This window comes from Homo sapiens, chromosome 12 (assembly GCF_000001405.40).
Source record: "Homo sapiens chromosome 12, GRCh38.p14 Primary Assembly".
Taxonomy (NCBI): domain Eukaryota; kingdom Metazoa; phylum Chordata; class Mammalia; order Primates; family Hominidae; genus Homo; species Homo sapiens.
The window spans coordinates 18,484,001-18,507,824 of NC_000012.12; the positions used below are offsets into that span (position 1 = coordinate 18,484,001).

Here is a 23,824-nt window from a genome sequence, read left to right on the forward strand (position 1 = left end):
GAGAGGCAAAATTAAACCAAACCGGAGGCCAAACCAAATCACAATAGCCCATTTAAAGCGTCTCCATGGACATGAGTATAGGTTTCATCCAGTCACATTCTGTTGACCAAAGCAAATCACATGACCAATCTGACAAGGGATAAAGAAGTAAATTCTACCTACAGGAAGGTACTGGAAGTCACATGACAAAGAGTCTAGAGGTATAATCTTCTACAAAGGAGAAAACATGGAGCTGGGAACAATAATGAAATCTACCACACAGTGTGGGAACAGTGGGAACATCATGAATATATAACATTCCAAAGAGATTACTTTGGAAATTATCAGAATGATTAGCCTCATAAATTATGGTAGGGGTATAAACCAAGTCAGTTTCATGCCTTATAGGCTCCTCTCATATATTTAAGTGTTCTAAAAATATATACAACATCTAGGGTATGGATTTAATCATTTTCCGAACTTGTTTCCTTTGTGAATAGTTTTATACTTGAGTTGTTACGAAGTAATTTATTGATAAACACATATTGCAGAATACTGATTGGAATTTGCATTATCTGCAGACTTGCCCCATATAATGCTCTTTATATGCAAAATTCAACAGTTAGTGCTGCTATTTCTGAAAGAGCAAATCAATATTCTAAAAATGGGCTAGTCAGAAAAAACAATTATCTTTGCAAGGATTGTATAACGTATCAAGTTCCTCAGTTGAGGAAAATACTAAATAAATCTCTTAGCCACTTAGAGGTAAAATAAAGTTGCTAACGCTAAATAGGCATGCTTTTCATTTCCTAGCCACACTACTAAAATCTTAAAATTAACAATTATATTTTAGTTATTGAATTGTATTCTTTATTTGTCCCAGAGTTCTAAATACACTTGAAAAAGTCATATTCTGGAATCCACCTGTGCTCACTAAAAATTGGTCTCCTGATCCACGTACCTCAGCCCAAACAAAGTAGCAAAATATACAAGATGAAGTGGGAAGGGGAAGCCCTGGAGTGATCTGAAATCACTCATCTCTATTGTGTAGCTCAATTCTTTTCTGTTACTGGATGTTGTTTCCTCTCTTGACCCACAGAAAATACACACGTGAGTAAAATTCTAGGACAGTCCCTGAGATGTGCAATATCCTGCTGTTGAAAACTAAAATTACGGCCTGGATTGAATGAGTTTATGAGGCAAAGAGGGCTGGGATGATGTGATTACTCTGTTCTGTCCTGCTGGTAGACTGATGGAATATGAACTATCTGTACTTTTCCTGTGGCTCTAGCAAGTCCCTCATCATGTGACCAGAAGCAGCGACATGCATGAAGAAATGTAGAAAAGTTCTAATTTTCAAGAAAAATCTCCATTCTATGCTAGCTGAGGTTGGTGACTATCTCTGTATCTCTGAGTCCACTATAATTCACTTAACTTAAATACCTCCATGACATCCTATAAAAAATTTGCTCAGTCACCTGGATTATGTTTCTTTCCCTCTTCCTTACCGCCTACCAAACTTAATACTGTCAAAATCTTCTTTAATCATCTAGATTTTATGCATTCATCCTCATTTTAATGTTGTCATAACTTACACTTTATAAAGCATTAAGGCATGTGTACAAAATAATACCAAATTGAATCACAGCTGGATATTGCAGACATTAGGGTAAACAGGTCTCTGGCATTTTAAGATTTACCTCACAGTTTGTGCAAAATCACATTGCCTGCATCTTAAAAGCCCAGTCTTTTAATAGCAAGTCTTACTTGATACTTCTCAGTCCCTTGACCTTAAACTTTTTATTTTTAAACATTTTTGCCATAAGCAATATTGCCTCTCCCAGGTTACGGCATCTTTTGAAAAGAATTTCTGTAAACCTTAAAAGAGAGTGGCCAGCTATTTTCTACAATCTTATAGACAGAGGCAATGGATAAAAACTACAATATTTAGGATTTACTGCTTCCTTATAGAGAAGGTCACTGACACAGAACTGAGTAACCTTCCACCCAAAACTTTGTAGTTCAGCCTTTTCCGTAGTTGTTTAAAGTTAAGGGGCATGTTAATTTCTCTTGTCATTTAAAGTGTCTGTGCCTGAAAATACAGGAATAGAATAATTGACCTCTCGTGTTCATCTCCAGCACTCTATGATTTCAATTCTGCAGTGTACAAAAACAAACTCTCTACACATTGAGTAAAAAGCCATGGATCTTGAACCAGATCTCACCAGGAGAACATGTAATCTTGGCAGGGATGCAGGGTTTGAATGAGGTATATTCTCCAAGGAAAATAATCCCAACAGAATACACTGAGTTTTCTTAGCTTTTATGTTTTTTAGGATATAGTCACATGTTATCTCTGTGACTCTCCCCTGCTCGGTTTTATTTTGAGCAAGGAATCAAACTGAGTTTTTCCTCCTTGAACCAGAGAGAAGCAAATACATTGCTCATGAGTGAACAAGTTCATTTCAATAGAATAAGGAATAAGAGTATTATACGTACAAATTAACTGAACAATTCTGACAGTCCCTATAACCCCAACCCTAAAATATATTATTTCTTTAATTATTTTGGTAAAAAATTGTTGATTTTGTCTGTGTAAATTAACTTTTCTTTCTATCACGTATGTAGCAGTTGGGTAGTCATAGAGTTATATTTATGTACTAGATCAGGTTAAAAATACTTAAAAAAAAAACAAGTAGCCCAATATTCAAAGTGTATGAAAGTGCTGACAAACATTGATATTCAACATAGAAATACTCCATCGATCCACTCCCTATTCCGATGAATCCCATGTAGACTATAAAATGGTACATTACCACTGTGCTCAAAGCACTGTGAGAATCTGAGCAGTACACAATTCTGCAAAAAACATCTTCAAGCTTTACAAGTGCATGCCTGCATCTGCAGCTTTGCATTCACATGCATGCAACATGCATTTGCTTAGAGCTTCCAGTTAATTAATTATGTGGTCCATTTATTACTTGTTTGACATTTCAAAATCTCATCATAGGGATGAGTAGGAAAATTTTTCACTGCTACTCTTCTTAAAATGAAAAGAACCAAGTATCAATAGAGAATATTTTACCAGTGATACATCTTTAGTCCCTTGAGGTATTTTGTGTGTGTGTGTGTGTGTGTGTGTGTGTGTGTGTGTGTAAATGCTTTCCAGAAGTAAATAAGAGCCATTATTTCACACAAAATTTGTATTTCCTTTGAGAAAATAAAAGAGGTACTAGAAGACAAGTTGGCTTCTAATAATGACAAAGGAACAGGCCCTTACCTTAAAAAACTGCAAACTCATTCAACTAATTTTTAACTTTAATGTGTAGCAACAGAAAACATTGAATAAAAATAATTTGTTTGTTAGAGTATCTCTAACATAATACACATTGGACAGAGATGCAAAATTAGGCATGCAGAATAAAACACATCTATATATTTAAAAATCCTTTTTTTTTAAGTATTTAGTTCTCAGAATTATCTTTTAGTTCCTTGAATGCTAATCATTTTTCAGAGAAGGCAAAAACTAAAGACCAGTTAAGATTAAAAGAATCAATTAGAGAGAAGTTAATGTGCAAATAAATTAGTCTTTTTTAATTCCATTTCAGTGTTTTAAGGGTATAATAGAAAGTAAAATTGTCAAACATTTGTTGTTGCTCCATTATCTTGCAATGTTTTCTCACTTCGTCGTGATTTATGCTTCCCATGTTCATGATAGGAGCAGACTTCCAGGCAGAGACAGAAGCTGACTTGGGAAGGCTATGAGACGTGGATGAACTAATGTTTTTGTGCTAAGCACTTTCAAATGCATTGCCTCATTCTGTGTTCTATACAGCTCTATAGCTTTATAGAATTACCTTATTTTAAGATAAATAAATAAAAACTCAGCCTAATTAAGTAATTTGTAAGTTTGAGAGCTGGGATTTGAGTCCAGATATGCCTGAAAACAAAAAACCATGCTCTTGCCTTTACAATACCTTCCTCCAGGTAGTCCAGGGGAGGTGCTCGGAAAAAGACAGCACCTTTTGTGGTTTGTGACAGTGCGGGGATATTATCATTTGAAGGAAACAAGAAAAAGTTAGGCTTGATGTTTGAGTCTCCATATAGTACAGTCACTTATAAAAACTATTTCTAAAGGTATTTGTGCATATTTTAAGAAGTCAAAAGCATGTTCTTGAGAAAAGTGTGTGTTACAGAATTAAGAGGACTGAAAGGAGAAAAGATGTGTTATGAATTGAAATGAAGAAAGGCAGATCTCTTATTGATTCTTCACTCTTGGAATCTCATTAACTATCAGATGGAACTTGATGACTGTCAATGAATAAACAACATTTTCCCCATTCTAGGTTGTTAAACTGCCCAAAGCCACCAAATACAGATTAGTTTGAAATGCACTTACTGTTCCGGCTGGATGTGGTTTAAAAAATTAGCTTTACATACAAGAATTTTTTTCTCTCTCTTTCCTTCAGGCTGCTAAAAAATGCAGAAAATGAAGCTTATTTTAAAAGCTGGTATCAGAAGCTACTAGCTGCTCTCCAATTCTGTGCAGGTAAAGCCTTGAATGATGAGTTTTCCAAGGAGCAGAAACTTATCAAAATTCTGGGAGATATTGGGGAAAGAGTCAAGTCTGCCAGTGACCATCAAAGACAGGTTTGTTGAAATATTAATATTCAGGTAGTAATGTTTTTAACTTTGGCTTAAATTAAGTTTTAATTTCATTGTTTGCAAAGCAAATTCCTTGATTACACTTAAATAGAAGATACTTAAATCAATTACTTTAGTCAAGTTTTTTTCCCCACCTACTGTTCTTAAGTTAATGATAATGTCTATCACCAGGACATGGTTTTTTGACCTAAATAGCCATGTGACACACAGAGAGAACCTGAAAAGAAAAGACCAACGTATAGGCAGTTGGACTAAACAAGCCTGATAAACTAATCGCGTCAATATGGAGGCACAATTCAGACTCATGGAGAAATACATGAGAAGTTTTAGGGCACGTTTTTGTCGTTGCTCAGCAAAGGACATTTTTCACGTAACAAATAAGATGAATTAAATGAAATAAATCAATGGCCTTAAGAACAGTAATACTTTTTATACTAAGATCTATGGATACTAGTCAAAATATGTGCCTCTTTCTCAGTGTTTATAATAATGGACCTGGCTATTATTTTTCTTGGAAGAATATTTGCTCTTTTTAATTATCTCCATCACTAGTTCCCTATACTGATATACACCATTAAGTAGTTTCTCTCAAGTTCAACACTCTAGATGCAGGGAGAAAGGGGACATTCTTTCATTGTATTAAGAATATTATTCAATAATAATTAACTACCTACTATAGACTAGGGGTTAAGGATAGAAAGATGACCAAAACATGAGTTTTGTCCTCAAGGGAACTCAGTTTCTCTCCACTTATAATCTAAAATCAACAAGAATTTTCAACAAAATGATATAAAAATAGTAGTAGGCAAAGTGTCCCAGAATTCTTTCTCAGCCCAGGATTTTTCTTGCTGGAACTCACTTCATTTAGTAGAAGTGCCAGAAACTATGCTACTTCACCTTCCTGGGAGAAAATGGAAAATAAAAAAGCAAAAGTTTGGAATTAATTTTTAAATGGGAGATATATAGACTCCAGTACACAGAGGATCCTTAAGGCATATAATAGGATAAGCAATGCAAAAAAAAGTTCTATGATTTTTTAAACGTTACTACAAGTTCATTAATTATTTTGTAATGGTAGACAAAAAGTTGATGGCAAGTTAAATAAATTGATTTAAAATTTACAGAAGTTTGTGTGACGGTTTGGTCTTTATCTCCTATGTTTTAAAATCCCTCACATGTTTAAGATGTACATTATACTTAAATAATTCTGGTGCTTTTTTTGATCATTCGCTTCAAGTACCAGAGTGATATTGACATTATTCACTCAGGTAAATATATTTATCTTGCCTTGAGTGGCTGCTTTTGTGATAACATCTCTTCACATAGGAAAATAGGAAGAGGAAAAGGAAGAGGTGGAAGAGGCATTTATAATTTCTCACAATTTAAGAAATAATAATTTCTCACAAAAATTTAAGTTCCTAATGGCTACTTTTGTACTTAAAAAAGCACTAATTAAGCATAACTATATGAACTGGGAAGATACTTTACTTAAATGAAGGGAGCAGAGATTCCTCTCCATGATATCTGCCAGGCAAATCCAAGTATAGATGAGGCAAAGGAGAACAACACACACAGAGGGCTGTAATGCAACTTTTCTCTCTACACTTTGCTCTTCTGGATTCTGGGAGCTGTGGATTCTATTATTTGCCAATAAGCCAGGAGTAAAAGGTAAGAAACTCTTGAGAGCTGAGTGAACATTATTAATATGATATCCTTGTCTTCTGAATTGGGCTCAAAAAGTTTCTTTTTTAATTTTCAATTTTAAAATGCACAAAAAAATTTTTCTACCATAGTTACCTCGTGCTAGCAAATAGTAAGTCTTTCTAATTTACTCTAACACTTTTTTTGTATCCATTAACTATTCCCCCTGCCCCCTGCTGCACTGACGACCCTTCTCAGCCTCTAGTAACCATCCTCCTACTCTCGGTCTCCATTAGTTCAATTGTTTTAAATTTTAACTGTCACAGATAAGTGAGAACATGTGATATTTGTCTTCCTGTGTCTGGCTTATTTCACATAACATAATGACCTCCAGTTCCATCCATGTTGTTGCAAATGACAGGATCTCATTCCTTTTTATGGTTGGATAGTACTCCATCATGCATATGTGAAAGTGGACTAAAAGAAGCTTTGTTTGTTTTGTGATGAATTGTAATTATTTCCTATCTCTTTTGTCATAGGATGCACAATTTAAAGGTGTTGTTTGTGATATCTGAGCTGCCATGAGTATAGTGGAGTGTAGGAATGAGTAAATAACAGAAATATACTCATTGATGTCCAGTAAACTATTTGTTCCTACATATTATCATTTCTGACAGCATTATGCAATTGGATTTTTGTCATTGTTGTTACTACTGTACGTAATTTTTTTTTGTAAAATGCACTATACTATTGAGTGTAATTTTGAGAGTCACAAACTCAGATTTCAGAAAATTATCAGAAAAGGATCATGTTAATAATTACATAAAGCAGGGTTTCCAAATTGGCGGCCACGCAGGTCAAGTCCAACCCTTTTATGTTTTGTTTGAACAGTACAGTGCTTTGTTTGGTTTTTATTTTTAGTTGAATTTGAGGTCCTTTAGAAAGGGCATGCATGCCTTAGTTTCCCATTTCTCCAACATGCCCTATTGTCTTTAGCCCACTGTCTTCTCATGCCTGAATACATCACCTGCCTGACCCCAAAGTCATCCAAGTGTGTAACCCTGAATTCAAGAATTCATTTAATCAATAGAAGAAAATTATAACCTGAAGGAAAAGTCAAGTTCTTTACATTTTCTTAAATCCTTTTTCTAATGATTTTTCACAGGAGGTACTGAAGAAAGAAATTGGCAGACTAGAAGAGTTCTTTCAAGATGTAAATACTTGTCATCTTCCTCTGAACCCTGCCCTATGTATAAAAGGGATTGATCACGATGTAAGTCAACTTATTCCTCAGATTAATGGAATATTTCTGTTTTGTATAGTTTAGTTCATTGTATATGTTTGAAATGGCAAAAAGAATTCGTAAGTTGACACTGCAATTATTTTAACGAAAAAGTAACTGAATCCATTTACATTGTGTTTTCCCTTTGATACACTAAGACCAGTTGGGATCACATTGGCCTTATCATATGATTTGTTTATTTGGAAACAAACTATCCATCAGTTCAGTGAAAAAAAAAAAAATAGAGGAACATAGAGGAACATATCGCTGGGTTAATTTCTTGACTCATTAAAAATGATTGATTTGGTGACCCCATGCAGGCTGGGTATAATTTCATGGTTTATTTAGACTATGTGCATAACCATACCTAGTACACGAACATTAGTCATTAGCTACAACATTTCTATTTTGATTCGATTTAAAATTTATTGATTCTAATATGTCAGTGTGTCATATAGTTTGTGATTTTACTCACGCCTAGAAAGCCCATCTTGGCATTGTCAGACTCACAACTTCCTAAGCCTTCTCTTCCTAATCCTCTGTCATATGGTACCTCTTCAGTCACACTTCTCTGACTTAGAATCATTCTTTCTCCCTTGTTCCTGATAAGCTTTATTATCTTCCTTCTCAAAAGCCCAAGAGTACAAAGACACTAACAGAGAAAATTATGAATATGTTAGATTTAAAAGTGAAGAGGTTAAGCTATCATGCACGGACAATAAATGTTACCTAACTGAAGTCATAAGACAGTCAAGAAAACAAACCCAATAATTAGGTGAAAAATTAGACCATTATTACTGTGAATGTAAAATGTTTTGCTAAAAACTTGATACCATCATCTTTATCACTTTGCCACAAGTAAGACTCCCTGAAAATTTTTTGATATGCTTCATAAATATATTTTGAAACATAACAAAATAAGGCTTCAAATTCCTTAAACTGAGATATGTCTGTCTGGGCTGAAATCCAAATCATTACTAATTTTCAAAAAATTGCCCAACTTTTTCATCATCAGCAGTATTCTTGTCTAATGCTGCACATATGTAGGAACTCAGCATTTCAAAGACACTGTACCTTAATGTAGAAAGAACAACAGGGATCACTGAGTCCATGTATTTTTTGTTTGTTTGTTTTTGCTTTTGCTTTATTGGCTGCTTGTTTTAAAGGAGAAGAGTGTTTTTGTTTTTGTTTTTTTTCACTTAAAATTACATATAAGTTTGGCATGTGCAGGTGCACCGGCTGGGCCAGGGGTCAGCTGCCCAGGAGTCACCACCCCTAGTGCTGCAGGTGGGACCACACTCCTTCCCTATATAGCACCCTACGGTTAGCAGTACTTTTCCTGCAGAAGCTGTCCCAAGTAGAACCACTGTCTGGTTCCATTTGCTCTGACTAGCTATGCCTGGCACAGGGTTGGGCACCTATGGGTACAACAATGAACAGGACAGACATGGCCAGGTGACACCATCTTGGGAAACATTTGAATCTATCCTCCAGTCCCATTGAACAAAGAAGTGAGAAACCTTACAGTTGAAATGAGTATGGAAAAGCTCTCTGTTTCAACAGAAACCTTATCAACTACTGGAGAATCCACACTGGGGAGAATCCTTATAAGCATGATGAATGTGGCAAGGCCTTCATTCAAACTAAATGTCTTATTTGACATCAGAGCCTACACACTGAGGTTCATATAAAAACCTTATTTAAATGGAAGCAGTTTGGAGAAACCATCTATGAGAGCTCTTAACTTGTTGACTATGAGAAAATTCATACCTTTTGAATGCAGTGTGACAAGGCATTTGGTCTGAGTAAATGTCTTATTCTGTGTCAGAGAGTTCACACCTGCCAAAAGCCCTATAAATATGATAAGCATGGAAATGTGTAGTCAGAACTCATGCCTCATTATACACCAGAGAATTCACACTGTTAAGAAACCCTACAAATATAATGGGTATGGGAAGATATTCAGTTATAGTGCCAGTCTTGTGGTACATCAGACAACCCATTGTGGGGAGAAATCTTATAAATGCAATGATAGTGTGAAAGCTGTTATATGATTGTGTGAGCCATTATAGTTCACAAGTGATTGTGCACCAGAGGGTTCACACTGGAAAGGAGCCCTGTGAATGCAGTGAGCATGGGAAAGCCTTTAATCAGCATTCTATCACTATCAGTCAACTATACTGGGGAGAAGCACTCAGGTATGGCTCAATTCGTTTCTTAAAGCGTGGCTCTCAAAGGCAAAGAGCAAGGGGCTCAGGTCTGAGCTAAACTGTCTTTATAAGACAAATTCTCAACCTTTGCCTCCCACCCCTACCCACAAACCATTAATCACAATGAACCATTCCCTATTTCCTTTTAAATCACTAAAGGATGGACCAAGTGGGAGAGTGGGAGGAACTGAATGCAATTCTTCCCCACTACTTAGGGAAAACAAGCACCAGGTATTTCATTTACTTACTGGTTTCTTTTTCAACTAATTTTTAGATATCTGTCATTAATGTGTGCTTCTCAAGGACAGAGATCCTATCTTCCTTTCTTCCAGCTTTTCTATCTTATTATACCATCTCCATAAAATCCTCCTCTAAGACTCTGATTAATTCTTCCATCCATGGGCATTCCAATCTACTTTATAACTATCACTCTAATCTAATATCTTATCATTTGCCTCTTTCTATCTAGAAAACCCTTGCTTCTGTCTATTTGCTAATCTATGGCCCTCAAAATCTTCAAGATCTAGTAAAACTCTGAAAATTTTTTTCTTAAAATGTGGCTTCATTCAATGATGATAAACTATCCTGTGAATTATTTTCAACTTAATATGTGTGTGTGTGGGTGGGTGTGGGTGTGTGTCTGTGTGTGTACCACCAAATTTAATAGGCTTTGTGAGGGGAGATGTAGTGTTTCTTTTTTTAGCATATAATGTGCATACTAGTTGTTGAATACATATTTTTGACAATCACTCAAATATATACCGCACATGAAAACCAAGATGTGAAACAATAAAAGCAGAATGTCTCTGGGTGGTAGTTAAAAAGATAGGCTAAGCCTTGCCTTCAGCCTCCCTGAACTTGGGATAACTCAAAGAGATTCCCCACATATTCAATGAGCAGAATTTAAAAACCACTGATCTACACTCATTTCTTGCCTCATACAGAATTTGCTAATTCAATACCATGATATATGGTCATGTGATCCCTAATTAGCTGACTTTTGCAACAGAATTTCATTGCTTAACAAGCATCCTCACCCATAAAACTATAAAACATCTATTTTTGTTTCTAGATAAAACATCTACATCTATAAAATATCTATTTCTTAACTGACCTATCAACACAAATCTAACCCAATTTCTAACTAAACAATCCCTTGCTTACTGAATCAATTTGATTTTTCAAATTGAAAGTAGAAAATATCTATTTTCCATCTCTTAAACTCTTGCTTATGATTCAGTAAGCAAGGGTTTGTGTTTAGTTAAGATATTGGGTTAGATTTGTGTTGATAGGTCAGTTAAGAAATAGATATTTTCTCTCAACTTCTAATTTCAGACTTCTTGTAGATAACGTTGTTCAAGCTGATCTTTCAACATGCATTGATGTCATATTTTACTAAGTTGATAAATTGAAAGCATAGAGTCTTTTTCCTTTCTTTATATTGAATGAAGTCTTCAATGCCATCATGAACTCTCTAATAGCCTAAAGACATACAGCTTTTCAATGCTTAATTGTAAGAAAATAAGAGGAAAACAGGCAACTAGGAAAGTAGAGTGAAAAGTAGTCAACATCACAAAGCTGAAAATGCAAATGGAAGGTGTAATTACTGGAAATGAGAAGACAAAATATATGTTGTACTGCTATTTATAAAAAACAAGAAAATGTTCATTAACTAAAAGATAAAGAAAAATGTAAGGATTTTTCAAAGTACCTGATTAGTGTCAGGCATTGTAAAAGGTATCTTATATCCGTTAGTTCCTGAATCTATCACAAAGATGTATGAGGGAGAGGTTACTTTCTCCACTTTACAGCAAATTAGTTATAAAGCTTAGATTTGAACTCAAGCCTTTCTTAACTTTCTATCTATTTTTCCTTAAAGTATTCTGCAAGGTAGAAATAATGGAAGGGAAATAAAGTTTTTAAAATAAAATTTTAACTTTTATCTACTAACCAGCTAGCATAAGCCAATATTCATACACTGCTTAGTTCATTTAAACCTCAAACATATCACTACTGTTCACTGAGGAAAAAACGTGGTTGAAGATCTGTAATCTGTCAAAAAGCTGGCTTCTTGGTTTCAAAGTAAAGGCTCCAGTTGATGGACTAAATTTTTTAAAATTTGTATGTTTCTGTGTTCCAAAGTATAAAAATTATTCATATGTGTTACATTTGTTCATACAACAAAGTCTGCAAGGGGCTATGATTTTGGGGAAAAGGTTTGCTTTTTGGGGATTGGGGTCTGATTTATTTTGCTCACTAGTTTTCCCTTTTTCTTTTCCTATAGGCATGTTCATATTTTACATCTAATGCTTTGCCATTGAAGATTACTTTCATCAATGCTAATCCGATGGGCAAAAACATCAGCATTATTTTTAAGGTATGGTAGCGCTCTTAAAACATGAATTGATTCCATACACAGAACTATCGATTTATTACTCACAAAAAGAAATTGTTGTGGCTATTTTCCTCCAGCAACAACACATAGGTTTTTCAGTTATTTTAGAGTCTGCCTTTTTACAGGATTATATATAGTATGTGCCAAACTCCAATTGGCAATAAATCAAACATTACTGGCTCAAAGCCAGGGAGCCTTCAGTGCAAAACCTAAGAGAATATAATTCAGTAAATGAAGTGATATGATTGCTTTTAAGTGGCAGATAAAGTTGAATGTGAGGAAAGTTTTATTTTGGTCTAGATACTAAATTGGGATCAAAATTAACTGGAACTGAAATGACATAAGTTAATTTAACATTAAATTCTTGCCTGCTAGCACTTGTTCATTTTAGTAATTTGAGTTTTTTTTAATAAAAAAGTAAATATGGGTCATTTCAGTCTTCATCATTAATCCCACTGGAAAAACAGAGAAAAGGTAGTAACAGGTTTATAAGCACGTAGGAAAGAGGGAACAGAGAGGGAGATTAGGGTAAAAAGTAAGAATATGCCCGTCTTCCAGTTTATTTGGCCAATTATTCAGCCAAGCCCGTGCAACAAGGTCTCAGAGTGAATCTTTGGTGAATTCTCACTGTCTATTTTGGAGGATAATGAGTAGTGTGCCCAGACTTTTGCTTTGTCATGTCACCTCAAGAGTTAGTGGTCCCACAATGCTGTACTTTTCATGAAGGGGAAAAAAGAAAACACAAAATCTTATCTTGGCAGGATTTTCCGTGTATAATTTAGAAAGTGTTTTCAAAACGAAATTTCTTATTTGTTTAAAAGGATAGAACTATCCTTCCCCTTTGGACATATGCAATCTCCTTAACCAATACATGACTATCACCACTTTATCATTTCTTATTATCAAAAATCATTTTCTCTGAAAACCTTTTAACTATCTTCAAAATAATTTGAGAAATCACTGATTTAAAGTCTAATCAATCATATGGATGCTATTTATACTCCCAGTCAAGAAGCTCTTGGTATTCTAACTGCATATCGGTGCATAAATTTATGACATACCAAATAATGTTTCACTTAGAAAGAGATCTCTCTTGGCTAAGTTTGAAATTTGAATAAACATTCATCCAGCCTGTCTTTGCCAGACTTTGAATCTGAGAAATCACACGTGGATAATAAATTGAAAATTATTATCAAGGAACAACATTCCAAGCAGCACCTCTAATTTGATGGTTGAAGCTTCTGTAATTATTTAAAAGGAAGTTCTCATTTAAAAATTTTTTTTATCAGAAACACAAGGTAATTTTAGTGCTAACAAAACCATTAAAACCACTCTAAGTCAGGCTAGAAATGTATCCAAGGAGAAAAGTGACATGTACTGTATTTGACTGCTTTTAATTAACAAATTCAAGGAAAAACCCAGGGTCTATAATTTTGTTTTTAACAGGCTGGAGATGATCTTCGTCAGGATATGCTTGTTCTGCAGCTTATTCAAGTGATGGACAATATTTGGCTGCAGGAAGGCTTGGATATGCAAATGATCATTTATAGATGTCTATCCACAGGAAAAGACCAAGGTCAGTATAGATTAGAAAGTGCGCTGGCTCACATTATTTATTTCACACATTCACTAGTAATAGGCTACGAAACTTTCTCCAGCTTTCGTTTTAAACTACAAGTTTGAAAATCCAAAGAACTATACACATTCTTCTTTTTTTAAAGAATTATTTTCAAAAATGATAAGCCAACAGAATTTATATAAAGCATAATATGCTTTTAGGTATTAATTAGGACCTTCACATTACAAATGTTAACTGTGATTTTATTTTATGTGTCTTTAAGAGTGAGTTTCATTAATAACTTACTGTTATTTTTCTCATTTTCTTATATAAAGCCTACTCATTTTTAAAAGAATACAATTGTTACTTATTAACACAAAATCTACACATTTTCAAGTGCTGAAAGGAGTTCTGGAAATCCTAAACACATTATAAACCTTAATTTAATTTCTAAAATACTTTTGAGTAGATAAAATATCAACAGTCAATGTTGGCCACACATGTAAATATTGAACATATGTCAGCATTTCTTTTCCTTTATAAAAGCCAAGAAATCAATATGAAAACATAATTATACTTATGCACATTTTCAGTGAAAGTAATGTCAATAGACCACCCAAATTATTACTAAAACATCAGAGGTAGAATTGCACTTAATTACAATAATGCCAAATTAAAGAGACAACAATATCTAAGATATCTTATAAATTTTTTTACATATAACCATTGCCACTTAGAATTTTATTAAATTAATTGGTATGAATTATAGCACATACATGTGCATAAACAAAGGGATGAAATCATAGAACTGGAGAGGGGATCTAGACCATGTAGTCATTTTTTTTTTTTTAATTCAAGCAGAGCTACAATTTAAACCTGTCATCACAAGAGAACTGTCATGCCATGGATCCTCACTGCCTGAGGTCCCACCAGCAGGCTCAATACCCCAGTCAACAGTTGAGATTTTAGATGCTAAGTATGAAAACACCTCCAAATTCACTCGCCACTTAATACCTTACAATGACTGCATTACAGTCGTACTAGCCAATTGATTTGATTCTGATAACAGGGCTCCTACTTCCATGCCAAGTGTCCCACTCTAAATACTTTCTAAATCTCTAGTTCCTACAACAGTCATTTATCCTTGCTACCATGAGATTGTTATTCCTTGCATCTTACCCTACTTTTTCTCACGTAAGTGACCTAATGCTTTCCTATCCTAAAATGCTGAAATAGAATAATGCTACATAATCCAAGCTGAGATCTTTGATGTTACATGAATCACCTTTTCTCCAGATATTGAATAAATTACTGATCCCAGTGGAATTTTTAAATTTCATCTCATTTCTATTTATAATCATGGAATGTAACCAAGGCTGAATCTTTTAGTTAATAAAATAATTCAGCAGAAATAACTATAGACTTATCCAAAGTTGTAGATGTCGCAAGACAAAAGTTATTTTTCTTCTCTGTCTACCAACAACAACCTTCAATAGCTGTAAGATTTCAGAGGGCATTATACTGACAAAATAATTCTTCAAGAAAAATAGAGATCATTAAAACAAATATCATTTTTAGAAGATTAGGTTGCATTTTTAATCAGGTTCCAAGGCTTACTGAATACCTACTTTTCTCAAGAAATGTCACAACGTGAGATGGGAAATGCATGCTAAAATGAGCTAAATAGAGTTGTGCCCTTGAGGAGAGTAAACTCCAGTTTCCACGAAGTTTCCATGACTTTATCAACATTATTGCTGAGTATCATTCTCATGGTCACTTTGTATGTAATGTCCTAGGAGTTCTGAGAGAAATTTTCAGGGCAAATAAAAATTCTTCAGGATTTATTTTATCATTGGTCCCCCAACTTTGATGAACATAAAAATTACATAGGGGGATGGAAAGAGTAGATACAACCTACCCCCAACCCAAGCGCACTAAATCAGACTTCCCCGGAGGTGGAGGAGAGGCTCAAAGGTTGATTGCAAAACGCTGCTCAGGTGTTTCTTATGCACCCTTGTCTGAAAGACACCGCCTCATACAACACCACCTTGGGTAATTTTATCCCTAAGAGCCTTGCTACTTAAAGTGTGAACCACAGACCCACAGCACTGACATCACCTAGGAACTTGTTAGAAATGCAGAATCTCAGGCCGCACGCCTGCCATACTCAATTAGAACATTTTAACAAAATCTCCAAACATATTAGTGCGTTTTCACACTGCTATAAATACCTGTGAGAGGTGACAGCGTGCTGGCAGTCCTCACAGCCCTCGCTCGCTCTCGGCGCCTCCTCTGCCTGGGCTCCCACTTTGGCGGCACTTGAGGAGCCCTTCAGCCGGCCGCTGCTGTGTGGGAGCCCCTTTCTGGGCTGGCCAAGGCCGGAGCTGGCTCCCTCAGCTTGCGGGGAGTTATGGAGGGAGAGGCGCGGCCGGGAACCGGGCTGCGCCCAGTGCTTGCCGGCCGGCTGGAGTTCCAGGTGGGCGTGGGCTTGGCGGGCCCCGCACTCGGAGCGGCCGGCCGGCCCTGCCGGCCCGGGCAATGAGGAGCTTAGCACCTTGGCCAGCGGCGGCGGAGGGTGTGCTGGGTCCCCCAGCAGTGCCGGCCCACCAGCGCTGCGCTGGATTTCTCGCCGGGCCTTAGCTGCCTTCCCGCGGGGCAAGGCTCGGGACCTGCAGCCAGCCATGCCTGAGCCTCCCCAAGCCTCCATGTGCTCCTGTGCAGCCGAGCCTCCCCTACGAGCGCGGCCCCCTGCTCCACGGCGCCCAGTCCCATCGACCACCTAAGGGCTGAGGAGTGTGGGCGCACGGCGCAGGACTGGCAGGCAGCTCCACCTGCAGCCCCAATGCGAGATCCACTGGGTGACGCCAGCTGGGCTCCTGAGTCTGGTAGGGACGTGAACCTTTACCTCTACCTCAGGGATTGTAAATGCACCAATCAGCGCCGTGTCAAAACAGACCACTCGGCTCTACCAATCAGCAGGATGTGGGTGGAGCCAGATAAAAGAATAAAAGCAGGCTGCCCAAGCCAGCAGTGGCAACCCACTCAGGTCCCCTTCCACACTGTGGAAGCTTTGTTCTCTCGCTCTTTGCAATAAATCCTGCTGCTGCTCACTCTTTGGGTCCACACTGCCTTTATGAGCTGCAACCCTCACCGCGAAGGTCTGTAGCTTCACTCCTGAAACCAGCGGGACCACGAACCCACCGGGAGGAACGAACAACTCCAGACACACCGCCTTAAGAGCTGTAACACTCACCGCGTAGGTCCGCAGCTTCACTCCTGAGCCAGCGAGACCACGAACCCACCAGAAGGAAGAAACTCCGAACACATCCGAACATCAGAAAGAACAAACTCCAGACGCGCCACCTTAAGAGCTGTAACACTCACCGCGAAGGTCCGCGGCTTCATTCTTGAAGTCAGTGAGACCAGGAACCCAGCAATTCCGGACGCACCTGGACTGGGTAATTAATAAAGGAAAGAGGTTAAATGGCTCACAGTTCCACATGGCTGGGGAGGCCTCAGGAAACTTATATTCATGGCGGAAGGTGAAGCGGAAGCAAGGGCCTTTTTCACAAGGTGGCAGGAAAAAAAGGGGGAGAATGGGGTACCTGCTAAACATTAATAAAACCATCAAATCTTGTGAGAACTCACTCACTATCATGAGAACAGCATGGGGGAAAACTGTCCACATGATCTGATCACCTCCCACCAGGTCCCTCCTTCCACACGTGGGGATTATGGGGATTATAAATTGAGATGAGATTTGACTGGGGACACAGCTAAACCATACAACAGAGTTATTTGTTGCATTAAAATTTGAGAAATATTGCATTAAAGGACTATAAGAGTGAAACCACACATATTACTCTATGTACACAGAATTATGTTCGAAGAATTTAAATAGTGTATGATATATACTAGCTTAAAATGTATAAAATGTAATTTATGATTTCAATTAATGAGCAGAATTTAGCCACCATGATTACTATAAATTAGATACAAGGTTTTCTGGATAGTCAGCAATTCAAGGCTTGTGATCAGTGTCTTGGGATTTAGCAAACATTAACTCCCTAGATCAACGTAGTTGGAAAAGCAATTGACATTGCTGCAGCAAAGTATCCAAAAAGGTGGAATCATCTAAGTCCTAATTTTGGGCATGGTCAAAGGTAAGATGGCATTGAAACACTCAGCAACCATGTAGAAAGTGACTTTCTTCAGGAAGTATTAAATAGAGGAACTGAAAAAATGAGGAGGGAAATTTTCAGGATTAAAAAGCATCACCTACTGACATAAAATGTTTTAAATCTGCTATCTCCCTTAACACACATGAGAAAACCTGGGCAACAGCCAAATACTATTAGGAGAGAAGGGAGAAGTGTCTTGATACTATGGATATTCCCAGGACCTGTCTCTGGGATGTGAAATTTCCTTCTGATCCACAAATGTAGATGCCCAATGATCATAACAGGACTATCAGATATTAAGAGAAATTAAGGCTGCAAACTAGCTGTAACTGACCAAATTCAGCACAGATAAGCCTTTTGTTTATCACCACCATAATCTACTTTAATGTTGTTTAATTTGAATGCTTTTTAGGTAGATCATTAAATGGTCAATTTAAAAAACTCAACCATCTCTCTGTTCATATAGTTATATTTGTGTCCCTGGTCTCTCTGGGAATTTGAGTTTGCAACTCCTGCAATTGTCGAGACTATGGAAATCAGAAACTCTAGACTTTAATTTATTTTAACGACTTTATTTATAATACTGTACTTTGCGGGTTGTTTTGTAGACATTATCCCTGAGAGAGCTTTAAGTACTGGATCTAAATTGCTGTTCTGTACAGTATGAAAATCAGAAGGTTTGCAAATATTTACATTCCAATAACCTTACGAGCACAATAAAAGAAAGCCTTGATGGATATATGGCCAGCGGAGCAAAGTTCCTATTGAAGTTCAATCAATATATGCTCCCTTTAAAAAAAATTACTATTGTAGTTTCTCTTTAATGTTGACTGAGAAGGAAGGAGCAGGTGGCTCTCTAGATGTTCACTGCTGAGTTATTCTGTTCACTCCCGCAAATGTAACATTTAACTGTGAAGCTTTTTTTAACCCGAACATTGATTTTTATAATATATGTGCAATGTTTGTTATGGAGAGTGTATTTGGCTCCCTTAAATTGTAAATATATTTGTTATCCAAGCTTAAATGTCCTCCCTTAAACTGTAAATGAGTGCACCAGCCATGTGATAATTAATTCACTACTCAGTGGGGTCTCTGTTCATCATCAACATTGGCTTGCTACCATAGCTCTAGAAAAAATATTAAAGCTGCTTCTGATTAATCCGATCCAAACACAAGTAGCCTCATTGTTCTCCAGGATTTTGGGAAGAATTAGAAAGAGATGCATCTAGATAAGCCTCCTCCAGAAAAGAAGATTTGAAAAGGAAAGGGGTAATCCAGTAGTGCTGGAAGCTATTGTTGTTATATTTCCTAAGGCTCCCTCATCTTGTGATGAAGGAATTGTCTCTGTAATCTTTTTTTTCTCTACCAGGATTGGTGCAGATGGTACCTGATGCTGTGACCCTAGCAAAGATTCATCGCCATTCTGGACTGATAGGACCATTGAAAGAAAATACAATTAAAAAGTGGTTCAGTCAGCACAACCACTTAAAGGCAGATTATGAAAAGGTTTGTCCTGTTGCAGATCATTTTAAATAATGTACTTAAATAAGAATATGCTCTGGTTCATTAGATATTCTGATTTGTAGAAAAGTAAATTAAGTGCACTTTGAGTTCTAATTCAATCAGCCCAGTAATTAATTAATCAGCCCAGTTTAAATGATATATTAACTACATAAAAGTTTCTGCATTTTATTTAGTTTCTGGGTGAAATTCCTGGTTATCAATAAAGATTTTTTTTTGCTCAGCTGCCATCCTGACATCAATCTTACACCAGAAACAATAACCCTTGAAATTACCTCATTTAAGTAATCTACAACTTCTATAAATATCCCTTCTTTTCTTTGCAATACATTTCTTCTGCCATTCCCCACTTTTTCGTCTCCCATTTTCTTAATGGTTTGCAAAATGCAAAACAGAGTTTATGTATGTCATAATTTTACCAAATGTACTGTTTTATTTGACTGCAAACACTTTTTCTCAATGTTTACTTCATTCTGGTATCTGGCTTGCAGTGTACAGTTGTGCAGGTTCTGCCCTGTATTAGGGATCTTGGCTAAGGAGATGAGTGTGGCTAGAACCAGTCCTTGGTCCACTTGCCAAGCTATGATCTAGTACAGCTGGGTCCACCCAGAGGAAGGAGCACCTAAATGCTAATTCATGCAAAAAATGCACCATTAGATTTGCTTGGTACTATCCTGTGCACTGAAATCCCCTTATTTTGAGAAATTCCTCAAACCTGGGTAAACTGGGATGATTGGTCACCCTACCTATGATAAAAAGGCCATGATAAAATAGACCCCAGAGTTCATCTATTCCACACTTCCATAACATTGTGTTGGAGCAAAATACAAGCTTTACAGGCCAAATAATAAATAATTAGATAAAATTACCTTGAAGTCTACTTTTTAGCTGTTCCCAAAATTATAACTTCAGTTTTGCATTAATCCTTGTGGTTACGTTATTTCCAAATACATCGCTCTTCACAACCACCATTTGAAGGATATGTTTTATTATTTTCACTTTCTAAGTGAAGAACATTTGGATTGACAAATTAAGTGACTTGCTTAGGCATGTAGGAAACCTAGAACTAAGGCACCCTAGCATGTAGCCTGGTGACCTAGCCTTCACTACATCAAGGCAGCCCCTCCATGCTAGGAGACCCATAACCTTATCCCAACCAGTCATTCCTGGTTACACCACCAAGTTGATGAAATGATGTATACCCAGGAGATCATTTTGGACGCAAAGTGTATTTTTGGAAAGAAACATCTGCTCATTAGAGAAACATAAACACAAATTGACTTAATGATAATCTGCTTCCACCCACACAGGCATTCACTGATATATATGTACTATACCAAACAGCTTCAGACATCAACTACATTGATGACCTATTTGTAAAAATACACATAAAATGTTACAGATTTCTCAGTATAGCTTTCTCTGTATTCCAAAATTTCAAATATTCAACCATTGATATTTTAAAATTCCTCTGGGAATAGGCAATATTGGGGCGTATTGTTCCTCCTTTTACTTTGAAAAAAAATCATTCAATATTGTATATTTGAGGTATCAAAAAATGACACTAGGAAACCTCTCTAGTGAACCAATGAAAATTAGCTCCATCTGAATGAAAGAAATATTTTCCGCAGTTTCAGTGAAAACATTCATCTATTAGGCTAAAGAACAGTTGTTTCATATTCTTCTGTAGCAGATCAAGAATCAGCTGCTTAACTGTACCCTCCTGTCCACTGAGATGTAGAAATTTTTCCTGATTATGTAATTTTGCTTATCATTTACTTTTTATGATTACCTCTGATGCTAATGCATTTGCTCATTTTTTGTTGTTATTTTTGCATGATTGTTTTTCAATGAATTAGGCCTTGAGGAACTTTTTCTACTCCTGTGCTGGCTGGTGTGTGGTAACATTCATCCTGGGAGTATGTGACCGTCACAATGATAATATCATGCTGACAAAGTCGGGCCACATGTTTCATATTGACTTTGGAAAATTCTTAGGTCATGCACAAACATTTGGAGGGATAAAAAGGTCAGTGCACAAATGTTTATTACAGTAATTAAGCAGTGTCCTAAGCAATATGTATAACATGTAATTGCATAGAAACCCTGCTGATGACTTGCTCCCATCTCTCAAATCCCCCCAGGTAATATAAACATGATAATATATCTAATAAGATTGAAGAAAAGTTTTAAAGTAGATTTTTAATGCAACAAATTTGATTTCCTCAAATTGGTAGTAGACTAAACTGGTCTTCCCCCATGAGAAGCAGCTAATCCTGTTTTAGTCTGTCATTTGAAGTAATATTGTTTGTTTCCTTATGAACCTTGAATGGACAATGAGGTATGAATTGATGATCTCAAAACATCTGCTATATTGCTCATAGCAAATCATCACTGGTCTACACATATTAATACTAGCTTACTTCCCACACTGAACTAGCCATACATCATTCCACAGATATTTAGGGAATACCTACTATTCAAGGATATAACAGTAAACAAGACAGACACAAACCCTGATCTCTTTCTAGTAGGGGTGACAGACATTAAACAAGTTTACAAGCTAAGAAATGACTTGAGAAAATGAGAAGTTATTTTAGAAAACTAAGGCAGAGAAATGGAATAGAAAGTAACTGGAGTGGGGATACTATTTTAAAGAGGCATCTCGGAAGACATGACAAAGAGCTGTGTCCTTATGACCACCTCATGGAGATCCATGAGAAGAGAATTCCAGGAAGAAACAACAGCACATACAATAGCAGTGAGCACAGAAATGAGCATGGCATGTTCCAGTGACAAGAAGACCTGGAGTCTGGAGATGGGATGGAGAGGGGCGGGCAGTAGGAGGTAAGGGTGAAGAGTTTGGTGGAGGCCCAATCAGGTAGGGCACAGAGGGCATATAGAGTGTGGCTTTTATTTTTTAAGTTCAGGAGAAACTTTTCAATTTTAGTGGTTTTCAAAAGCTTTCTTTGATACCTTGTGTAATGGAGACCAGTGAAGAGACTACTGCAATAAAGTGAGACCAGTAAAGGTAGAAGTAGTAAAAACCGACAGATTCAGAATATATTTTGAAGACAGAGCCACAGGATCTGCTAATTGATTGGACGTTGGCTGTGATTAATGAACTGGAGGAGGGGCACAGAAGGTCAGAGAAGAAAACATTCAAGGATGATGCCTAGATTGTTTTATCTTAGCAAATGACTGAATAATTATATTATTTACTGAAATAAGGAATACTGATAGATGAATAGGTTTTGTTTCATTTTCTTTAAGCCGAAAGTAAGGAAATCAGAAGTTGAACACTAAAAGTCTTTAAAAATATATTTTATATGAAGGTAGAAATAGGATCAAGCCATTCCAAAGACTAATTAGTCACTTTCGCCTGAGAACAGCCCCTCAATATAAGAAATAATAATATTTCTTACAAGATAATGTGATCGAATTTATACCAGATGGCCATAACCTGGCATTAAAATGCCAACATAAACTACATGATATATACAAATGGATTATTTTACTTTCTGTTACTCTCAATACATTGCTTTCTTTAATAAACAGCCTCGAAAAATTTACCACATATTCATTCACTTCTTTTTCTTTTACTTTTTTTTTTTTGAGATGGAGTCTCATTCTGTCGCCCAGGCTAGAGTGCAGTGGCATGATCTTGGATGACTGCAACCTCTACCTCCTGGGTTCAAGCGATTCTCCTGCCTCAGCCTCCGGAGTAGCTGGGACTACAGGAGTGTGCCACCATGCCTGGCTAATATTTGTATTTTTAGTAGAGGTGGGGTTTCGCCATGTTGGCCAGGCTGGTCTCGAACTCCTGGCCTCAAGTGATCTCCTGCCTCGGCCTCCCAAAGTGCGGGGATTAGAGGTGTGAGCCACCGTGCCTGGCCTTCATTCGCTTCTTAAATGTCCACTGGGAATGGTCTGTGTGCCAAGGACTGTGATAAACATTGGAGATACAAAGATAATTAATATGCATTTACCATGAAAGTTAGGGATACTCTTTCAAGTACTGTGAATACAGACACATAAATGATTATTATAAAATGTTATAAGGGCAGAGATAGAGAAATGTACAGACCATGAGAATGTCATAGAGGAGGGATACCTAGCTTATGAGGGACAAATGTCAATTAACATACTTGAGTGTATATAAAATTTATTCATGTAACAGTTTTTTCCTGAACTCTATCTACCTTTTTCTAAAAATTCAAAGATTCAGTTTGGACATCTTTTTTTTTAATTTTGATGTTTTGTACACTGGCAATTTGGAGTACCCTTATTCATTTATTGCACTGGCTTCTGTATTGTTCATGTGAGTGGTTTAAAATGAAAAAAGATATTTCAGCTCTACAGAAAAAGTTCCAGTTGGCAGACATAAAAAAG

At 36.7% G+C, this 23,824-nt stretch overlaps 1 protein-coding gene and 1 pseudogene across 15 annotated transcripts in view; both read left to right on the forward strand.

Moving 5' to 3' along the window:
* The window catches only part of PIK3C2G (phosphatidylinositol-4-phosphate 3-kinase catalytic subunit type 2 gamma), a 483,857-nt gene that overhangs the window by 241,040 nt on the left and 218,993 nt on the right, over positions 1-23,824 (forward strand). For 14 of the 15 annotated variants that reach the window (XM_047429007.1, XM_017019471.2, XM_047429008.1 and 11 more), the window contains 6 exons: positions 4,449-4,629; positions 7,451-7,558; positions 12,062-12,154; positions 13,619-13,748; positions 19,281-19,417; positions 21,292-21,461. In XM_047429007.1, the coding sequence (XP_047284963.1) occupies positions 4,449-4,629; positions 7,451-7,558; positions 12,062-12,154; positions 13,619-13,748; positions 19,281-19,417; positions 21,292-21,461 (819 nt within the window). Of the gene's footprint in view, positions 1-1,270; positions 1,368-4,448; positions 4,630-7,450; positions 7,559-12,061; positions 12,155-13,618; positions 13,749-19,280; positions 19,418-21,291; positions 21,462-23,824 lie in introns of those variants that run through there. The other variant, XR_931307.3, reaches the window with a different exon arrangement.
* On the forward strand, positions 9,075-9,785 carry ZKSCAN7P1 (zinc finger with KRAB and SCAN domains 7 pseudogene 1; annotated as a pseudogene).